Source organism: Homo sapiens, chromosome 7, assembly GCF_000001405.40.
Source record: "Homo sapiens chromosome 7, GRCh38.p14 Primary Assembly".
In the NCBI taxonomy this organism is placed as follows: Eukaryota; Metazoa; Chordata; class Mammalia; order Primates; family Hominidae; genus Homo; species Homo sapiens.
The window spans coordinates 72886020-72902524 of record NC_000007.14 but is presented as its reverse complement, the minus strand read 5'-3'; the positions used below and the strand labels follow the sequence as shown (position 1 = coordinate 72902524).

The 16505-nt window shown below is 44.3% G+C and overlaps 1 protein-coding gene across 20 annotated transcripts in view; it reads right to left on the bottom strand.

The window, feature by feature from the left end:
- Positions 1–16505, bottom strand: part of POM121 (POM121 transmembrane nucleoporin) — a 72103-nt gene that overhangs the window by 48935 nt on the left and 6663 nt on the right. For 17 of the 20 annotated variants that reach the window (NM_001257190.3, NM_001387688.1, NM_001367610.1 and 14 more), the window contains 2 exons: positions 11772–11898; positions 11415–11592 (listed from right to left, as the gene is read on the bottom strand). The gene's annotated coding sequence lies outside the window, so the exon portion shown is untranslated. Of the gene's footprint in view, positions 1–1396; positions 1495–11414; positions 11593–11771; positions 11899–16505 lie in introns of all 20 variants that reach the window. The other 3 variants (NM_001387698.1, NM_001387700.1, NM_001387699.1) reach the window with 2 other exon arrangements.

Here is a 16505-nt window from a genome sequence, read left to right as displayed (position 1 = left end):
ATAGACAAACTAAAGCTTATAGAAAAAAATAAAAAAGGAAAAAAATAGAAATTATTGAAAGGAATCAAAGTCTGAAGCTGAAAAGTATACAAAAATTAGCCAGGCATGGTGGTGGGTGCCTATAATCCCAGCTACTCAGGAGGCTGAGACAGGAGTATTGCTTGAACCCAGGAGGCAGAGGTTGCAGTGAGCCAAGATCGCACCATTGCACTCCAGCCTGGGTGACAAGACAAGAACGAAACTCCATCTCAAAAAAAAAAAAAAAAAAAGAAAGAAAAAGAAAAGTATAAAAATGGAAATGAAAAATTCACCAGACTATTTTGAATTCATTTGAGCAGATGGAAACCACTGAACACATGAAGACAGGTAGATGAAACTATCCTGTCCACAGTTTTTTGTTTTTTGTTTTTTTTTTCATGAGTTTCACTCTTGTTGCCTAAGCTTGAGTGCAATGGCGCGATCTCGGCTCACTGAAACCTCTGCCTACTGGGTTCAAGTGATTCTCCTGCCTCAGACTCTCAAGTAGCTGGGATTACAGGCATGCGCCACCATGCCCGGCTAATTTTGTATTTTTAGTAGAGATGGGGTTTCACCATGTTGGCCAGGCTGGTCTTGAACTCCTGACCTCAGGTGATCTGCTCGCCTCGGCCTCCCAAAGTGCTGGGATTATAGATGTGAGCCACCGTGCCCAGCCTGAATTGTATGCTTTAAAATGGTATATGGACTGGGTGTGGTGGCTCATGCCTGTAATCCCAGCACCTTGGAAGGCTGAGGTAGGAGGATCGCTTGAGACCAGGAGTTCAAGACCAGCCTGGCAACACAGTGAGATCCCATCTCTACAAAAACTAAAAATAAAAAATTAGCCTGAGTCGGGCCAGGCACAGTGGCTCATGCCTGTAATCCCAGCACTTTGGGAGGCCGAGGCAGGTGGATCATGAGGTCAGGAGTTCGAAACCAGCCTAGCCAAAATGGTGAAACTCCGTCTCTACTGAAAAGACAAAAATTAGCCAGGCACGGTGGCGGGCGCCTGTAATCCCAGCTACTCTGGAGGCTGAGGCAGGAGAATCGCTTGAACCCAGGAGGTGGAGGTTGCAGTGAGCCGAGATCACACCACTGCACTCCAGCCTGGGCCACAGAGCAAGACTCTGTCTCAAAAAAAAAAAAAATTAGCCTGAGTCCTAGCTACTCAGGATAAGGTGGGAGGATTGCTTCAGCCCAGGAATTAAAGGCTGCAGAGAGCTATAATCACACCACTGCACTCCAGCACAGGCAACAGAGTGAGACCCTGTCTCAAAAAAAAAAAAAAGAAAAAAAGAAAAAAAGGTGCGTGACTTTCACCTCAATTAAAAAAAATAAAACATATAAAAACCTGTCAGCAGGGCATGGTGGCGCATACCTGTAGTCCCAAGTATTTGAGAGACTGTGGTGGGAGGATTCCTGGAGCTCAGGAGTTTGAGGCTTCAATGAGCTATGATTACACCACTGCAGTCTGACCTGGGCAATAAAGGGAGATGCCATCTCTTAAAAAAAAAAACGCCAAATTCTGTGAGATGCAGCCAAAGTAAACTTTAGGTAAATTCATAGCCCTAAATGCTTACAGAAGAAGCAATAATAAAAAAAAAAAAACTTAAGAATCTGAGCTTCCATTTTAAGAAACTAGAAAAAGAGCAAAATAACCACAAAACAAACAGAAAGAAGGAAATAGAATTAATATAAGAGCAGGCTGGGAGGGGTGGCTCACACCTCTAGTCCCAACACTTTGGGAGGCTGAGGCAGGCAGATCTCTTAAGGCCAGGAGTTCAACACCAGCCTGGCCAACATGGTAAAACTCCATCTCTACTAAAAATACAAAAATTAGCCAGGCGTGATTGCATGTGCCTGTAATCCTAGCTACTCCCAAGCTGAGGTAAGAGAATCGCTTGAACCCAGGAGGTGGAGGTTGCAGTGAGCCAAGATTGCGCCACTGCACTCCAGCCTGGGTGACAGAGCAAGACTCCATCTCAAAAAATAAAAATTAAAATAAAAATGTAAGAGTAGAAATCAGTGAAGTTAAAATAGAAACATTTAAAAAATCAATTAAACCAAATGTTGGCTCTTCGAAAAGATCAATTAAAAATAAGAAATCCCTAGCCAGACTAATCAAAGAAAAAAAAAAAAGCAAAAAGAGAGGATGCAAATGACCAGCATCAGGAATAAAAGGGAGGCTATTAGCACAGACCCTGCATGCATCAAAATGAGATTAAATATTACAAACAAATCTAGGCACCCAGCTCCCACCCTCATTTTTTATAAGTGGGAAAAAGACCCAGAGATCAAATGACTCACTCAAAATGACAGTCAATGACAGAGCAGGGCCTGGGGCCTTAGGACTGATTATCCAAATGCCATCAGAAAACGAGCTAAATCAGAAGCACCTAGTGAGCTTTTAAAAAATAATTCTACAGGGCACAACCCCTGAGATTCTGATTCAGTAGGTTTTGGAGTGATGCCTAATATTCTGAAAATGCCAAAAGCTCAAAAGATGGTTCTCTTGCTTGGCCAGGTTTAGAAAATGCTGTGTCCCACATTACCACCTTCACTCATATGACGACTGTAGAGAAAATCATAAAAATCTGGTGCTCAAGTACGTTTAAATTTAATATAAAGCACCAGGCGTGGTGGCTCACGCCTGTAATCCCAGCACTTTGGGAGGCCGAGGTGGGTGGATCACGAGTTCAGGAGATTGAGACCATCCTGGCTAACACAGTGAAACCCCATCTCTACTAAAAATAGAAAAAAATTAGCCGGGCGTGGTGGCACATGCCTGTAGTCCCAGCTACTTGGGAGGCTGAGGCAGGAGAATGGTGTGAACCCTGGAGGCGGAGCTTGCAGTGAGCCGAGAGTGCGCCACTGCACTCCAGCCTGGGCGACAGAGCGAGATTCTGTCTCAAAAAAAAAAAAAAAAAAAAATGTAATATCAAGCAGGCAGAATAAATCCTGTGATGGTGACCGGGTGAATGCTCTTGAGAGAAATCATGATCTGGAACACCCGTCTCCGACATTTCCCATGGCAGTTAACATTTTTCCACTTTATTCAAATACACATTTATTTGTCAAATATTTGCTGGGTACCACTCTGTGCTAGGTATTGGGGATACAGTCATTTGCATCACAAAGTCCCTGCTCAGTGTAATAAGCACTCATTGAGCACCTACCTATGTGTGAGGAAATGTGCTGCGGGTATCAGAAACACACAAAATAGGCCGGGCACTGTGGCTCACGCCTGTACTCCCAGCACTTTGGAAGGCCAAGGTGGGCAGAACACCTGCGGTCAGGAGTTTGAGACCAGCCTGACCAACATGATGAAACCCCATCTCTACTAAAAATACAAAAAAATTAGCCAGGTGTAGTGGTCAGTGCCTATAATCCCCAGCTACTCAGGGGCTGAGGCCAGAGAATTGCTTGAACTGAGGAGGCAGAAGTTGCAGTGAGCTGAGATGGCACAACTCCACCCCAACCTGGGCAACAGAGACTCTGTCTAAAAAAAAAAAAAAAAAAAAAAAAAAGAAAAGAAAAGAAAAAGAAACACAGAAACACAAAATAAAACAGAGCCTCTCCTCTCAAAGAACTCACCCTCGCCAGTCGGAGACAAACTATACAACGCCTTCCCAGGTATCTCATCCCGTTTCTTAAGTCCAAATTCTGTTGCCACATTGAAGACTCCAGCATTTTTTTTTTTTTTTTTTTTTTGAGACAGTCTCACTCTGTCACCCAGGCTGGAGTGCAGTGGTGCAATCTCGGCTCACTGCAACCTCTACCTCCCAGGTTCAAGTGATTCTCCTGCCTCAGCCTACCGAGTACCTGGGATTACAGGCGCCCACCACCACACCTGGCTAATTTTTTGTATTTTTAGTAGAGACAGGATTTCGCCATGTTGGCCAGGCTGGGCTCACACTCCCGACCGCAGGTGATCCACCCACCTTGGCCTCCCAAAGTGTTGGGATTACAGGCGTGAGCCAACACGCCTGACTGACTCCAGCATTTTTATCTTCATCTCAATCTCATCCCTAAACTCAAAACCAACATATGCAACTGCCTACTTGATGTTTCCATTTGGATATCTAACTAACACCTCAAACTAAACATGTGCAAAGCCAGGTGCAGTGGGTCATGCCTATAATCCCAACACTTTGGGAGGTCAAGACGGGAGGATCGCTTGAGCCCAGGAGTTTGAGACCAGCCTGGGCAACTTAGTGAGACTCCATCTGTCTATTTATTTTCAAAACATTAAAAATTGTTTTTAAAGAAAAAAATAAACCTGACACGTGCAAGACCAAATTCCCAATTTCGCACTCTCCCACCAAACTGGTTTCTCCCACAGTCTTTGCCAACTCAATAAATAACAACTCCATTCTTAAAGTTCACCTAACAAAAATCCTGGAGTCATCCTTGACTCCTCTCTTTCTCTTACACACTGCATGCAAAGCATCTGCAAATCTTTTGGGTCTACTTTCTTTCTTTTTTTCCTAGACAGGGTCTTGCTCTGTTGCCCAGGCTGGAGTGCAGTGGCGTGATCACAGCTCACTGCAGCCATGACTTCCCAGGCTAAAGCGATTCTCTCACCTCAGCCTCCCAAGTCCCTGGGACTACAGGCACGCACCACCAAACCCAGCTAATTTTTTATTTTTTTAGAGACAGAGTCTTGCTATGTTTCCCAGGCTAGCCTTGAACTCCTGGGCTCAAGTGATCCTCCTGCCTTGGCCTCCCAAAGTGCTGGAATTACAGGCCTGAGCCACCACACCTGGCCAGGTCTGCTTTCAAAATACATCCTGCATGTGACCACTTCTATCTGCAGCTGCCTCTCTCATCCATACCTCTGGCTTGTTTTGCCTGGAGTGCTGCCTTATAACCAGGACCCCTGTTTTGACCAGAGTTCTCCTATGAACTGTTCTCAACAGAGAGGCCAGAGAGATCTTTTTAAAAACACTAAGTTGAATCTCATTAGTCCTCTGTTCAACCTGCAAAGATTCCCATTTTATTCAGAGTAAAAGACAATCCTTATGATCCTCACCAGGGCGTGACATGACTCCCTGCTCCCTCTTGGATCTCAACTCTCTCCACCTTTGCCTTTGCTGAACTTCACTCCAGCCTCATTGGCTTTTTCTGCTGTTCTAAACATGCCATGCATATTCCTCTCTGGAATGCTGTTCCTTTGGAGGTAAGCATGGCTCTCTCTCCACCTCCTTCAGCTCTCTAAGTATCTTATCAGTGAGGCCTTTCTCAACCACCTTATAAAAAGTAATCACTTCTCACTCCCAAGGAACTTTTTTCCCGTCACAGTAATTGTCACCATTTGACACATATATTTTATTTTGTTTATTATTATTATTTTTTGAGACAGAGTCTTGCTCTGTTGCCCAGGCTGGAGTACAGTGGCACGATCTCGGCTCACTGCAACCTTAGACTCCCAGGTTCAAGCGATTTCTGGCTAATTTTTGTATTTTTAGTAGAGATGGGGTTTCGCCATGTTACCCAGGCTGGTCTCGAACTCCTGACCTCGGCCTCCCAAAGTGCTAGGGTTACAGGCATGAGCCACCACGCCCGGCCTTGACACATATATTTTAGTGTCCATCTTTTCCTGCAATAAAGTGTATAATTATTAGGGTAACGTGTTCAGTTCACTGTCTTATTCCCAGTGCTTAACAGTGGCAGGCAAATAGTTAATGATCAGTACATATTTTGTGAATGAATGTGACATGTTCTAATAGAAGTAGGAAATGAACACTTCGTGGGATGGGTAAACAGTGGGAGTCATGGCCAAAAATAGTTTAGAATGGATCATTTACTGCAATGGTTTTCAAGCACTTTTCTTTCTTTCTTTTTTTACAGAATCAGGGTATCACTCTTGCCCAGGCTGGAGTGCAGTGGTACAATCACAGCTCACTGCAACCTGAGAACTCTGAGCTCAAGCAATCCTCTTTTACCTCAACATTCCCAAGTAGCTGGGACTACAGGTGCGTGCCACCATGCCCAGCTAATTTAACTTTTTTTCTTTTTTTTGAGAAAGGGTCTCACCCTGTCACCCAGGCTGGAGTGCAGTGGCACTATCACAGCCCACTGCAGCCTTGACCTCCTGGGCTCAAGCAATCCTCCCACCTCAGCCTCCTGAATAGCTGGGACTACAAGTGCATGCCACCACTTCTGGCTAATTTTTAAATTTTTTTGTAGAAATGAGGTCTCCTTATGTTGCCCAGGCTGACCTCGAACCCCTGGGCTCAAGTGATCTGCCCACCTTGACCACCGAAAGTGCTGGGATTACAGGCATAAGCCACCATGCCCAGTCCAGCATATATATATATTTTTAAACTGGAACTCATTTTTTTAAATGGAAGCACAATCTGAAAAAGGAATAAAACCCAAAGATTGACAACGGGCTAGAAAACCAGAAATCCCCAATTCAGCTTCTTCCCCTTACTCTCCCCTTTGAACTCATGATGCGTCTCAAAGCCCAGCTTGAAAGCCACAGATCTAGAGCTTGGATGGCATTCTAATGAGCTAAGCATCTAAACCGACCACAGTTGGGAGCCACTGAAAGTTTTTGAGCAGGTAAATGATAGATTTGATTGATTTATTCATTTTGAGACAGTCTTGCTCTGTCACCCAGGCTGGAGTATAGTGGCGCGATCTCAGCTCACTGCAGCCTCTGCCTCCTGGGTTCAAGTGATTCTCCTGCCTCAGCCTCTGGAGTAGCTGGGATTACAGGCGTGCACCACCACGCCTGGCTAATTTTTCTATATTTAGTAGAGACGGGTTGGCCAGGGTGGTCTCGAACTCCTGACCTCAGGTAATCCACCTGCCTCCACCTCCCACAGTGCTGGGATTACAGGTGTGAGCCACTGCGCCCGGCCTAAATGATATATTTAGATCCATGCTTTAGGAAGATTAGTCTCAAGAGAATGGGTAGACTGAACGATGACAGAAGGAGATGGCAATCAGGAATATCAAAGAGAAGACTGCTGCAATAGTCAAGCTAATACTTAAAGTACAGAAGGAGGGGCCAGGGAAGAGCAGTGAGAATGCAAAGAACAGAAAAATGGAGACAGCTGTCTAGGACCTGGCATCTCCCAGAAGGAAAAGGACGTTCAGAGTAAAATCTGTCAGTTTCATGCCTTAGTGACTGGTGAATTTAGTGAACGCACAGGAGGTGAAAGGCTGGGAGAGGAAGCAAATACCACCACTTCAGATTTAGACAGGGTCTGAGGTATGAAAAAGGTACATACAACTGTCCTACAAACAGATGAAATGCAGTCCTCACATGATATGCCCTGTTGGGAGCCTTTAGGAGCCATCTGGACAACCCTGGTCATTGAGATGGTGTGGAAGAGCAAGAAGTGCTCCAAGTGTGTCCAGAACAGACAGGCCGGGTGCTGTGGCTCATGCCTGTCATCCCAACACTTTGGAAGGTGGAGGTGGGAGGACGGCTTGAGGTCTGGAGTTGGAGACCAGCCTGAGCAACACAGCAAGACTCCACTTCTATAGAAAATTTTTAAAAATTAGCTGGGCGTGGTGGGCAGGCCTGTAGTCCCAGCTATGTGGAAGCTGAGGTGGGAGGGTTGCTCGAGCCCAGGAGTTCAAAGCTGCCATGAGCTATGATCACACCACAGCACTCCAGCCTGGGCAACATAGGGACACCCCATTTTTACCTAAAACTTTTAAAATTAGCCAGGCATGGTCAGCTGTGCGCACCTGTAGTGCCAGCTACTTGGAAGGTGGGGTGGAGGATCTCTTGAGTCCAGGAGTTGGAGGCTGCAGTAAGCCATGATAGCACCTCCGCACTCCCAGCCTGGGCGACAGGGACGGAGATCTCTCTCTCTCTCTCTCTCTCTCTCTCTCTCTCTCTCTCTCTCTCTCTCTCTCTCCTCTCTCTCTCATCTCTCTCTCTCTCTAGAAAGAGTTTTTTTTTTTTTTTAATGAAGTTTCACTCTTGTTGCCCAGGCTGGAGTGCAATGGCACGATCTCAGCTCACTGCAACCTCCGCCTCCCAGGTTCAAGCGATTCTCCTGCCTCAGCCTCCTGACTAGCTGGGATTACAGGCGCCTGCCACCACGCCCAGCTAATTTTTGTATATTTAGTAGAGACGGGGTTTCACCATGTTGACCAGGCTGGTCTTGAACTTCTGACCTCAGGTGATCCACCCACCTTGGTCTCCCAAAGTGCTGGGATTACAGGCGTGAGCCACCATGCCTGGCCTAGAGTCTTTATTTATTTATTTCTTTAAGACAGAGTCTCGCTCTGTCGCCCAGGCTCTGCACCAGAGTGCAGTGGTGCGTTCTCTCCTCACCACAACTGCTGCCTCCCGGGTTCAAGCAATTCTTGTGCCTCAGCCTCCAAATATCTGGGACTACAGGCGCGTGTCACCACGCCCAGGTAATTTTTGTATTTTTCGTAGTCTCATTCTGTTGGCCAGGTTGGTCTGGAACTCCTGACCTCCAGTGATCCACCCGCCTCAGCCTCCCCAAGTGCTGGGATTACAGGTGTGAGCCATCATGCCCGGCCGAGACCTTGTCTCTTAAAAAAGAGAAAACGGGGGCAGGGGGAGGGGGCAGCACAGAACAGAAACAGAACTTTGGGGAACAGAGACACGGCGCCGAGTTGAGCAGAAACCAGGGCAGAAGCACCAGGCAGAGATGGAAGACTGAGTTTCATCGAAGGAGTGGGATCCTGGGACCCAAGGGAGCGGAAGCACAGTAAGTAGGGATGAAGATGGCGAAAGCACCACCTGCCAGAGCGCTTGCTGACGAGCCACACTCCACACCTACTACGTGCTGTCACGTGCTTGACAAAACCCGGCACACAACGCACAATGCTAAAGTTTATTGCTCAACAATGCAAATACAGTTAACATTACCGTACACTTAAAAATGGTTAAGACGGTAAATCGTATGTTACGTTTTTGTTTTTTGAGATGGAGTCTGGCTCTGTCGCCCAGGCTGGAGTGCAGCGGTGTGATCTCCGCTCACTGCAAGCTCTGCCTCCCGGGTTCAGGCCATTCTCTTGCCTCAGCCTCCCAAGTAGCTGGGACTGCAGGCGCCCGCCACCACGCCCGGCTAATTTTTTTGTATTTTTAGTAGAGACGGGGTTTCACCGTGTTTGCCAGGATGGTCTCGATCTCCTGACCTCGTGATCCGCCCGCCTCGGCCTCCCAAAGTGCTGGGATTACAGGCATGAGCCACCGTGCCTGGCCATGTTACGTGGTTTTTAACCACAATTTAAAATTAAATGAAGGGGGCTGGGTGCAGTGGCTCACGCCTGTAATCCCAGCACTTTGGAAAGCTGAGGTGGGCAGATCACAAGGCCAAGAGTTCAACAGAGAACTCCTGGCCAACAGACTGAAACCCCGTCTCTACTAAAAATACAAAAATAGGCCGGGCGTGATGGTGCACGCCTGTAATCTCAGCTACTCGGGAGGCTGAGCACAAGAATCACTTGAACCTGGGAGGCAGAGGTTATCGTGAGCCAAGATTGTGCCACTGCACTCCAGCCTCAGTGACAGAGTGAGACTCTGTCTCAATAAATAAGTAGGCTGGGCACAGTGGCTCAGGCCTGTAATCCTAGCACTTTGAGAGGCCGAGGCAGGTGGATCACAAGGTCAGGAGTTAGAGACCAGCCTGACCAATATGGTGAAACCCCGTCTCTACTAAAAATATAAAAATTAGCCAGGCATGGTGGTGTGCACCTGTAATCCCAGCTACTTTGGGAGGCTGAGGCAGGAGAATCGCTTGAACCTGGGAGGGGGAGGCTGCAGTGAGCCGAGATCATGCCATTGCACTCCAGCCTGGGCGACAAGAGCGAGACACTATCTCAAAATGGAAGGAAGGAAGGAAGGGAGGGAGGGAGGAAGGGAGGGAGGGAAGAGAGGAAGAAAGGAAGGGAAAATATGTATTATCTCGGCAAGTGAAATGCAGATGAAGGAAAAGGACAATGATCATTTGAATGGAAGATGGATCCACTGTAATCCAGGTATGGGAGAATACTGAACACTAATGTCAAAAGAAACAGAATGTGCTGACGATCTGCAAGGCATTTCACAGAAGACAAAGAACACAAACCATGGAGAGAAGACTAGCACAATCAAATACTGGGAGGTGAGGAAGGTAGACAGAATTCATGATTTTGGAACATGCACAGTTTATCATCAGACATTCTGAGAAAGAAGGAAGTGAACTATCTCACTGGTACTGCTATATTGTCAAGTAAAATATTCAACTAGGTTAAAAGTGTCAGACATATCAATTTGGAGGCAAGCTGCAAAAATACACAAGAAAAAAGGTCTTAGAAGTTGAGATTAGATAAACTCTTTTACGGGATACAAAGAAAACCAAAAAAGTGGAAAATGGGTTCTAAGAGGACACTCCTGAAAAGGCAAGAAAAGGAACCGACATTCACTTATGAAATTCACACTTCCTGAATGTCTACTATGGACAGAGCATGATTCCAGTTATGGGGAAGGGGAAATGAACACACAGACAGGTCATAAATGAGCATTGGGGAAAGAGGGGAAAGCTGAGGGAGCGCTACATCATCACATCAACTGAGCATGGACTTGGGGAAATAACGTACACCACAAGCTGTGACTCAATTCACAAGCACAGGTGGAGGACAAGGTTTTGGTATCTGAATGCCTAAAGAAATAAATAAAATCGAGGGCAGAAAATAAGTCCAAGGTATTTTTAAAGCAAGGAAGGAAAGAAACTGGAAGATAAAAAGAATGAACATAAAAGTCTCAAGTTAATTTTTATGTCAGACTTCTGAATGCCCCAGAATGAAACAATTCTGTAAGGCTGGGAGCAGTGGCTCAGGACTGTAATCTCAGCACTTGGGGAAGCTGAGGTGGGCGGATCACTTGAGACCAGGAGTTCAAGACCAGCATGGCCAACATGGTGAAACCCTGTCTCTACTAAAAATACAAAAATTAGCCAGGCTTGGTGGCATGTGCCTGAAATCCCAGCTACTCAGGAGGCTGAGGAAGGAGAATCGCTTGAACCTGGGAGGTGATGGTTGCAGTGAGCTGAGATCATACCAGTGCACACCAGCCTGGGTGACAGAACAAGACTCCGTCTCCAAAAACCAAACAAAAAAACAAACAAACAGCCCACAACAATTCTCTAATGGTGAGGGAGTAAATAAGTGACCGATAATGCTGGAGGAAGAGGAAGTGAATGGGTCCCCAGTATAGGTTAGAATGAAAAAATCCCTACCAATGTAAATCAAATATAAAATAAACAAAAGAGTTCATGTATGTGTGCAGGAAGGAAAGTGATATTTGGGGGTTGGGAGGTGTTACTGAGGGTACCGAATACATATAAACAACTCTTTAGTCACTCCCAAAGGTCTGGGATGAGCATTTTTTAACATTTGATACTCTACTAACTTACCTGGACTATGTTGACATGGAAATTCACCTCCCGTTATCCACAGCTCCTCTCCCTGCTCCAACTTAATGATGACGTTTGGCTTGGTGATATCATATCTTGTTAATGGGAAAAGAAGAAGGACTTGGGCAAGTTGCTCGGCTTCAGATCTCCGAAGTACAAGATGTTGCCACCTCATAAGCTGCATAACAGAAATGCTCCATTTTTTACCTTATCAAAGTTAGAACCTTTCAATGAAGAATAATATAAACACTGCAGCTAGTGCCCACAAGGAATTAAATGGTGTTGTCACTTATTTCTTCAAACTCAAGCATAAAACCCCATTCAACTGAGAGCATTCAGAAAGCAAGCTATCCTCACCCAGGGAAACTAGATGGCTGTAGTTCTCCAACATCACATCCCCGTATGTTATCTTCTCATCAGGGTCCAGTTGCCACCACTCCTCCTGGGTGAAATCCACAGCCACATCTTTGAATGACACTGGCCCCTGTAATGGCAACATGATCAGAATTGGGAGATATGGAAAAGGGATAGGGGGATAACATTTTACAAAGCTCACTGGTGAAGTTAACCATGAACATTGTATACCTTATTTTATGTTACAGATTATGGAAGGGAAATCATATTGGAAACACATATCCTTTGGGGTCCTTTATATATATACAAAAATAAAAACCCAAAACACAACTGAGCTCCTATTTTGCAACTGAACTGTGTTTTGGGGATATGAGATGAGTGAAACACCATGCCTGCTCTCAGAAAGCAGACAACCTAATAAGGAGATAAACATGTAAACAAACACAAGCATTTTACTCCTTGTCACTTCTTTTAGTCTTCTTTGCTGCCAGGCGCTCCCCTTCTCCGGGACCTCCTCATGTTGGAGTGCCCACCACTCAGTTCCTGGTCTTCTTCTTCCTAACTCACTGCTCTGGGGCTCTCACCTAGTTTCAGCTCCTTGTTCTTTTGGCTCTTTTATTCTCATAGCCAGTGGCCTCTGGCTATCTGCATGACTGATTTTATCTCAAACATCTCAATCTCACAGCAATAAATATTCGTTAAATGAATGAATGCCCAAAGCTGTTATTAGAGTAATGCAGACAAGGTGCAGAATGATTTAACAAAAGAGGATCAAATTAGTTTAACTTTATGCCATCAGATTAGGCTTCACAGACTCAGTTAACTTGAAGTCCTTAAAGATGAATTGTGTATTCTATGGGATGAAGGGGAGGAAGAATATGATGAGGTGTAAAAGTACCAATGGCAAACATGAAGCAGCTTCAATTTTTAAGAGGTTGGGGCTGGGCATGGTGGCTCATGCCTATAATCCTAGCACTTTGGGAGGCCGAGATGGGAAGATCGTTTGAGCTCAGGAGTTCGAGACCAGGTTGGGCAACATAGTAAGAACCTTATCTCTGCTAAAAATAAAAATTTTTTTAAAAATTGGCTGGGCATCATGGCACATGCCTGTAGTTCCAGCTACTTGGGAAGCTAAGGCAGGAGGATGGCTTGAGCCTGGGAGGTCAAGGCTACAGTGAGCTGTGAATGCAACACTGCACTCCAGCCTAGGCAACAGAGCGAGACCTTGTCTCAAAAAAAAAAAAAAGAAAAATGCAAAGCTCCTGGGCTCCAGCAATCCACCTGCCTTGGCCTCCCAAAGTATTGGGATTACAGGCTTGAGCCAGCATGCCCCGCCCAAACTTGTAGTTTAGAAAAAGGAAGTGCCCAATAAGCATGTTGCATTATCCTGTTATTTATAAAGAACATATCAACAAGGGGTTCAAACCCAGTGATACAGCTAGGACCATGTAGATCCCAAGAGATAGCAGAGGCAGAGCCGCTAGGCTGGTGGGCTGAGAAACTAAAGCAGAACATCCAAGCTTATCCACAGGCAGGCCAAAGGAGCTGATAAAATCACCAAGAGAGAGTAATAACTTTCTGGGTTAAGTTAGTCCAGAAAGCAAGGAGGTGGTAGGGGTTAGAAGACTGATGGACCAATAAATAACATAAAATTACATGTCAATACCACTTACATCAATACAAATACCCAAAATGAAACATAACCAAACAAAATCCAGTACCAGATTAAAAACATAATATACAACAGACAAATAGGACTTATTCCAATAATATAGACTAGTTTAATACTTGGAAATCTATTAATATGATAAGCCACTATAACACAGCAAAGAAGAAAAATCTTGTATCCATGAAGATACTTGAAAAAGCTTGACAGAAAAAGCTGATTTAAAAAAACAAACTAAAGAAAATAGAAACTGATGGATACTTCATTAACATCAATATTATTATATACACAAATATAAATATTACACCCTAATATGCCATAGTACGTATGATATGTGACATATGTATTTCAATTACACACAAGCACATATATACAGTTTGTGTGTATACACACACACACACACACACACACACACTCTTATGCCTCAGTCTTCTCGGTCCGAAAGTCAGGATTTTACTTAACAGGGAAAAACTACATATCTTCCCACTAAGATCAAGAACAAGGTATTAATAAAATGCTCATTATCTACAATTAGAGAAGAGAAAACAATTAGAGGAATATAACTAAGAAAAAGTAAAAGTGCTTGGGCACAGTGGCTCACGCCTGTAATCCCAACACTTTGGAAGGCCAAGGTGGGCAGATCACCTGAGGTCAGGAGTTCAAGACCAGCCTGGTCAACATGGTGAAACCCCATCTCTACTAAAAATCCAAAAACAACGACAAAATTAGTTGTATTATTAAGGTCAACTTAATAATACAGAGATACCAGTTTCCCTAAATTACTTTATAAATATGCAATCCCAATAAAAATACCAAAAAGCTTTTTCCTGGAACTAGATAAGCTGACACTACAGTTCATATGAGGTGGAAGAAAATCAAAAACAGCTCAGGGAAAAAAAAATTTGGACATGGATAAAACTGGATCCAGGCCAGGTGTGGTGGCTCATGCCTGTAATCCCAGCACTCTGGAAAGCTGAGGCAGAAGGATTGCTTGAGGCCAGGAGCTTGAGACCAGCCTTGGCAACATAGCAAGACCCTGTCTCTACAAAGAAAAAAATATATATATTAGAAAAAACATATAGACAGAGACATGAGGACTTCTGCCCTCAGGTGTGATAAATTAACAAGTACTGGATATACCCTCCAACCTGAAACAGCACACACCAAAGAAAAACAAAATCAAAAACAGAAAGAAAAATAAAACAAGAACATATACGAAGCAATGATTTGTTTTTTTGTTTTTGTTTTTGTTTTTTGTTTTTTGAGATGAAGTCTCGCTCTTGTCTTCCAGGCTGGAGTGCAATGGCACAATCTCGGCTCACTGCAACCTCTGTCTCCCGGGATCCAGCAATTCTTCTGCCTCAGCCTCCCGAGTAGCTGGGATTACAGGCGTGCACCAGCATGCCCAGCTAATTTTTATATTTTTAGTAGAGATGGGGTTTCACCATGTTGGCCAGGCTGGTCTTGAACTCCTGACCTCGTGATCTGCCCGCCTTAGCCTTGTTGTTGTTGTTGCTGTGATTACAGGTATAAGCCACCATGCCTGGGCTGAAGCAGTGGTTTCCAAGGCACTGATTATCAGGCAGTAGAGTTATCTATGAGTGATGGGAAATAAACAAGGTGAACCAATCAACTTCTGCCTTGAGCGTTTCCAGGCCATGGAGCAGAGAAGAAGAACCGAGGCAGATGTGAGGAGAAAGAGTTGTGGGATGGGAAAATGGGCAGGAAATTACAACCCATAAGGAAGAAAAGAATCAGTCCATCAAAACTGGCCCAGAATTGACACAGAGTTCACAACCGGCACAGAGCACTGAGAGAGTTCATCGTTCTATTCCAAATGTTCAAAAAAATCAAGACAGGCAAGATGTAAAAAAGACCCACGCTAACCTTCTACAGATAGTACAATATCTGAGATGAAAATTATACTGGAAAAGATGAACAGTATCGTGGAAAAAAGAGATTAGTGAATATAAAGACAGCAACAGAAGTTACATAAAATGAAACAGAGAAAAAAGAATTAAAAGCAAATAAAGAGCAACAGTGTGTTGTGGGAAAATTTCAAGTGGCCTAATATACAGGCAACAAGAATCAATGGAGGGGAGGTGGCGGGTACTTGAAGAGATAATGATAAAAATGTTCCCCCAAGTGATGACACCATAAACCCAAGATCCAAGAAGTTCAATGATCCCCAAAACAGAAACATGAAAAAAATGATACCATGACATATTGCAATCAAATTGTCCAAAACTAGTGATAAAAAGTTTAAAACAATAAGGGGGGAAGAAAAAAAGACATGTTATATATAGGGGAACAAACATGAGTATGAGATCAGATTTCTCTTAGAAAAAAATGTAAGCAGGAAGACAACAGAGAAACATATTTAAAGCACTGTGGAGAAAAATCCAGCAAAAACACCTTTAAAAGCAAAGACACAATGAAGACATTTGCAGACATATAATAATTCATCATCAACTAGAAGAAATGTTAAAGAAACTCCTTCAGGCAGAAGTAAAATGACAGCAAATAAAAATTTAGATTTACACAAAGGAATGAGGAGTACCAGAAATGGTAACTGTGTATTTTCTCTCATTACTTAAATCTCTTTAAAAGATACCTGGGCCAAGTGTGTTGGCTCACACTTGTAATCCCAGCACTTTGGGCGGCTGAGGCAGATGGGTGACCTGAGGTCAGGAGTTCGAGACCAGCCTGGCCAACATGGCGAAACCTCGTCTCTACTAAAAATACAAAAATTAGCCGGGCGTGATGGTGGGTGTCTGTAATCCCAGCTACCCAGGAGGCTGAGGCAGGAGAATCACTTGAACCAGGGAGGCAGAGGTTGCAGTGGGCCAAGATAGCACCCCTGCACTCCAGCCTGGGGGACAGAGTGAGACTCTGTCTCAAAATAAATAAATAAATAAATAAATAAATAAATAAATACTGTTTAATTAACAACAACGTAATAGATAGTGTGTGGCACTGATACCACCTGTAAAAATAAAATGAACAACGGTGTAAAGACCAAGAGGAGAGAAATGGAAGTGTCCTATTGTAAGCTTCTCTTATTCTAAGAA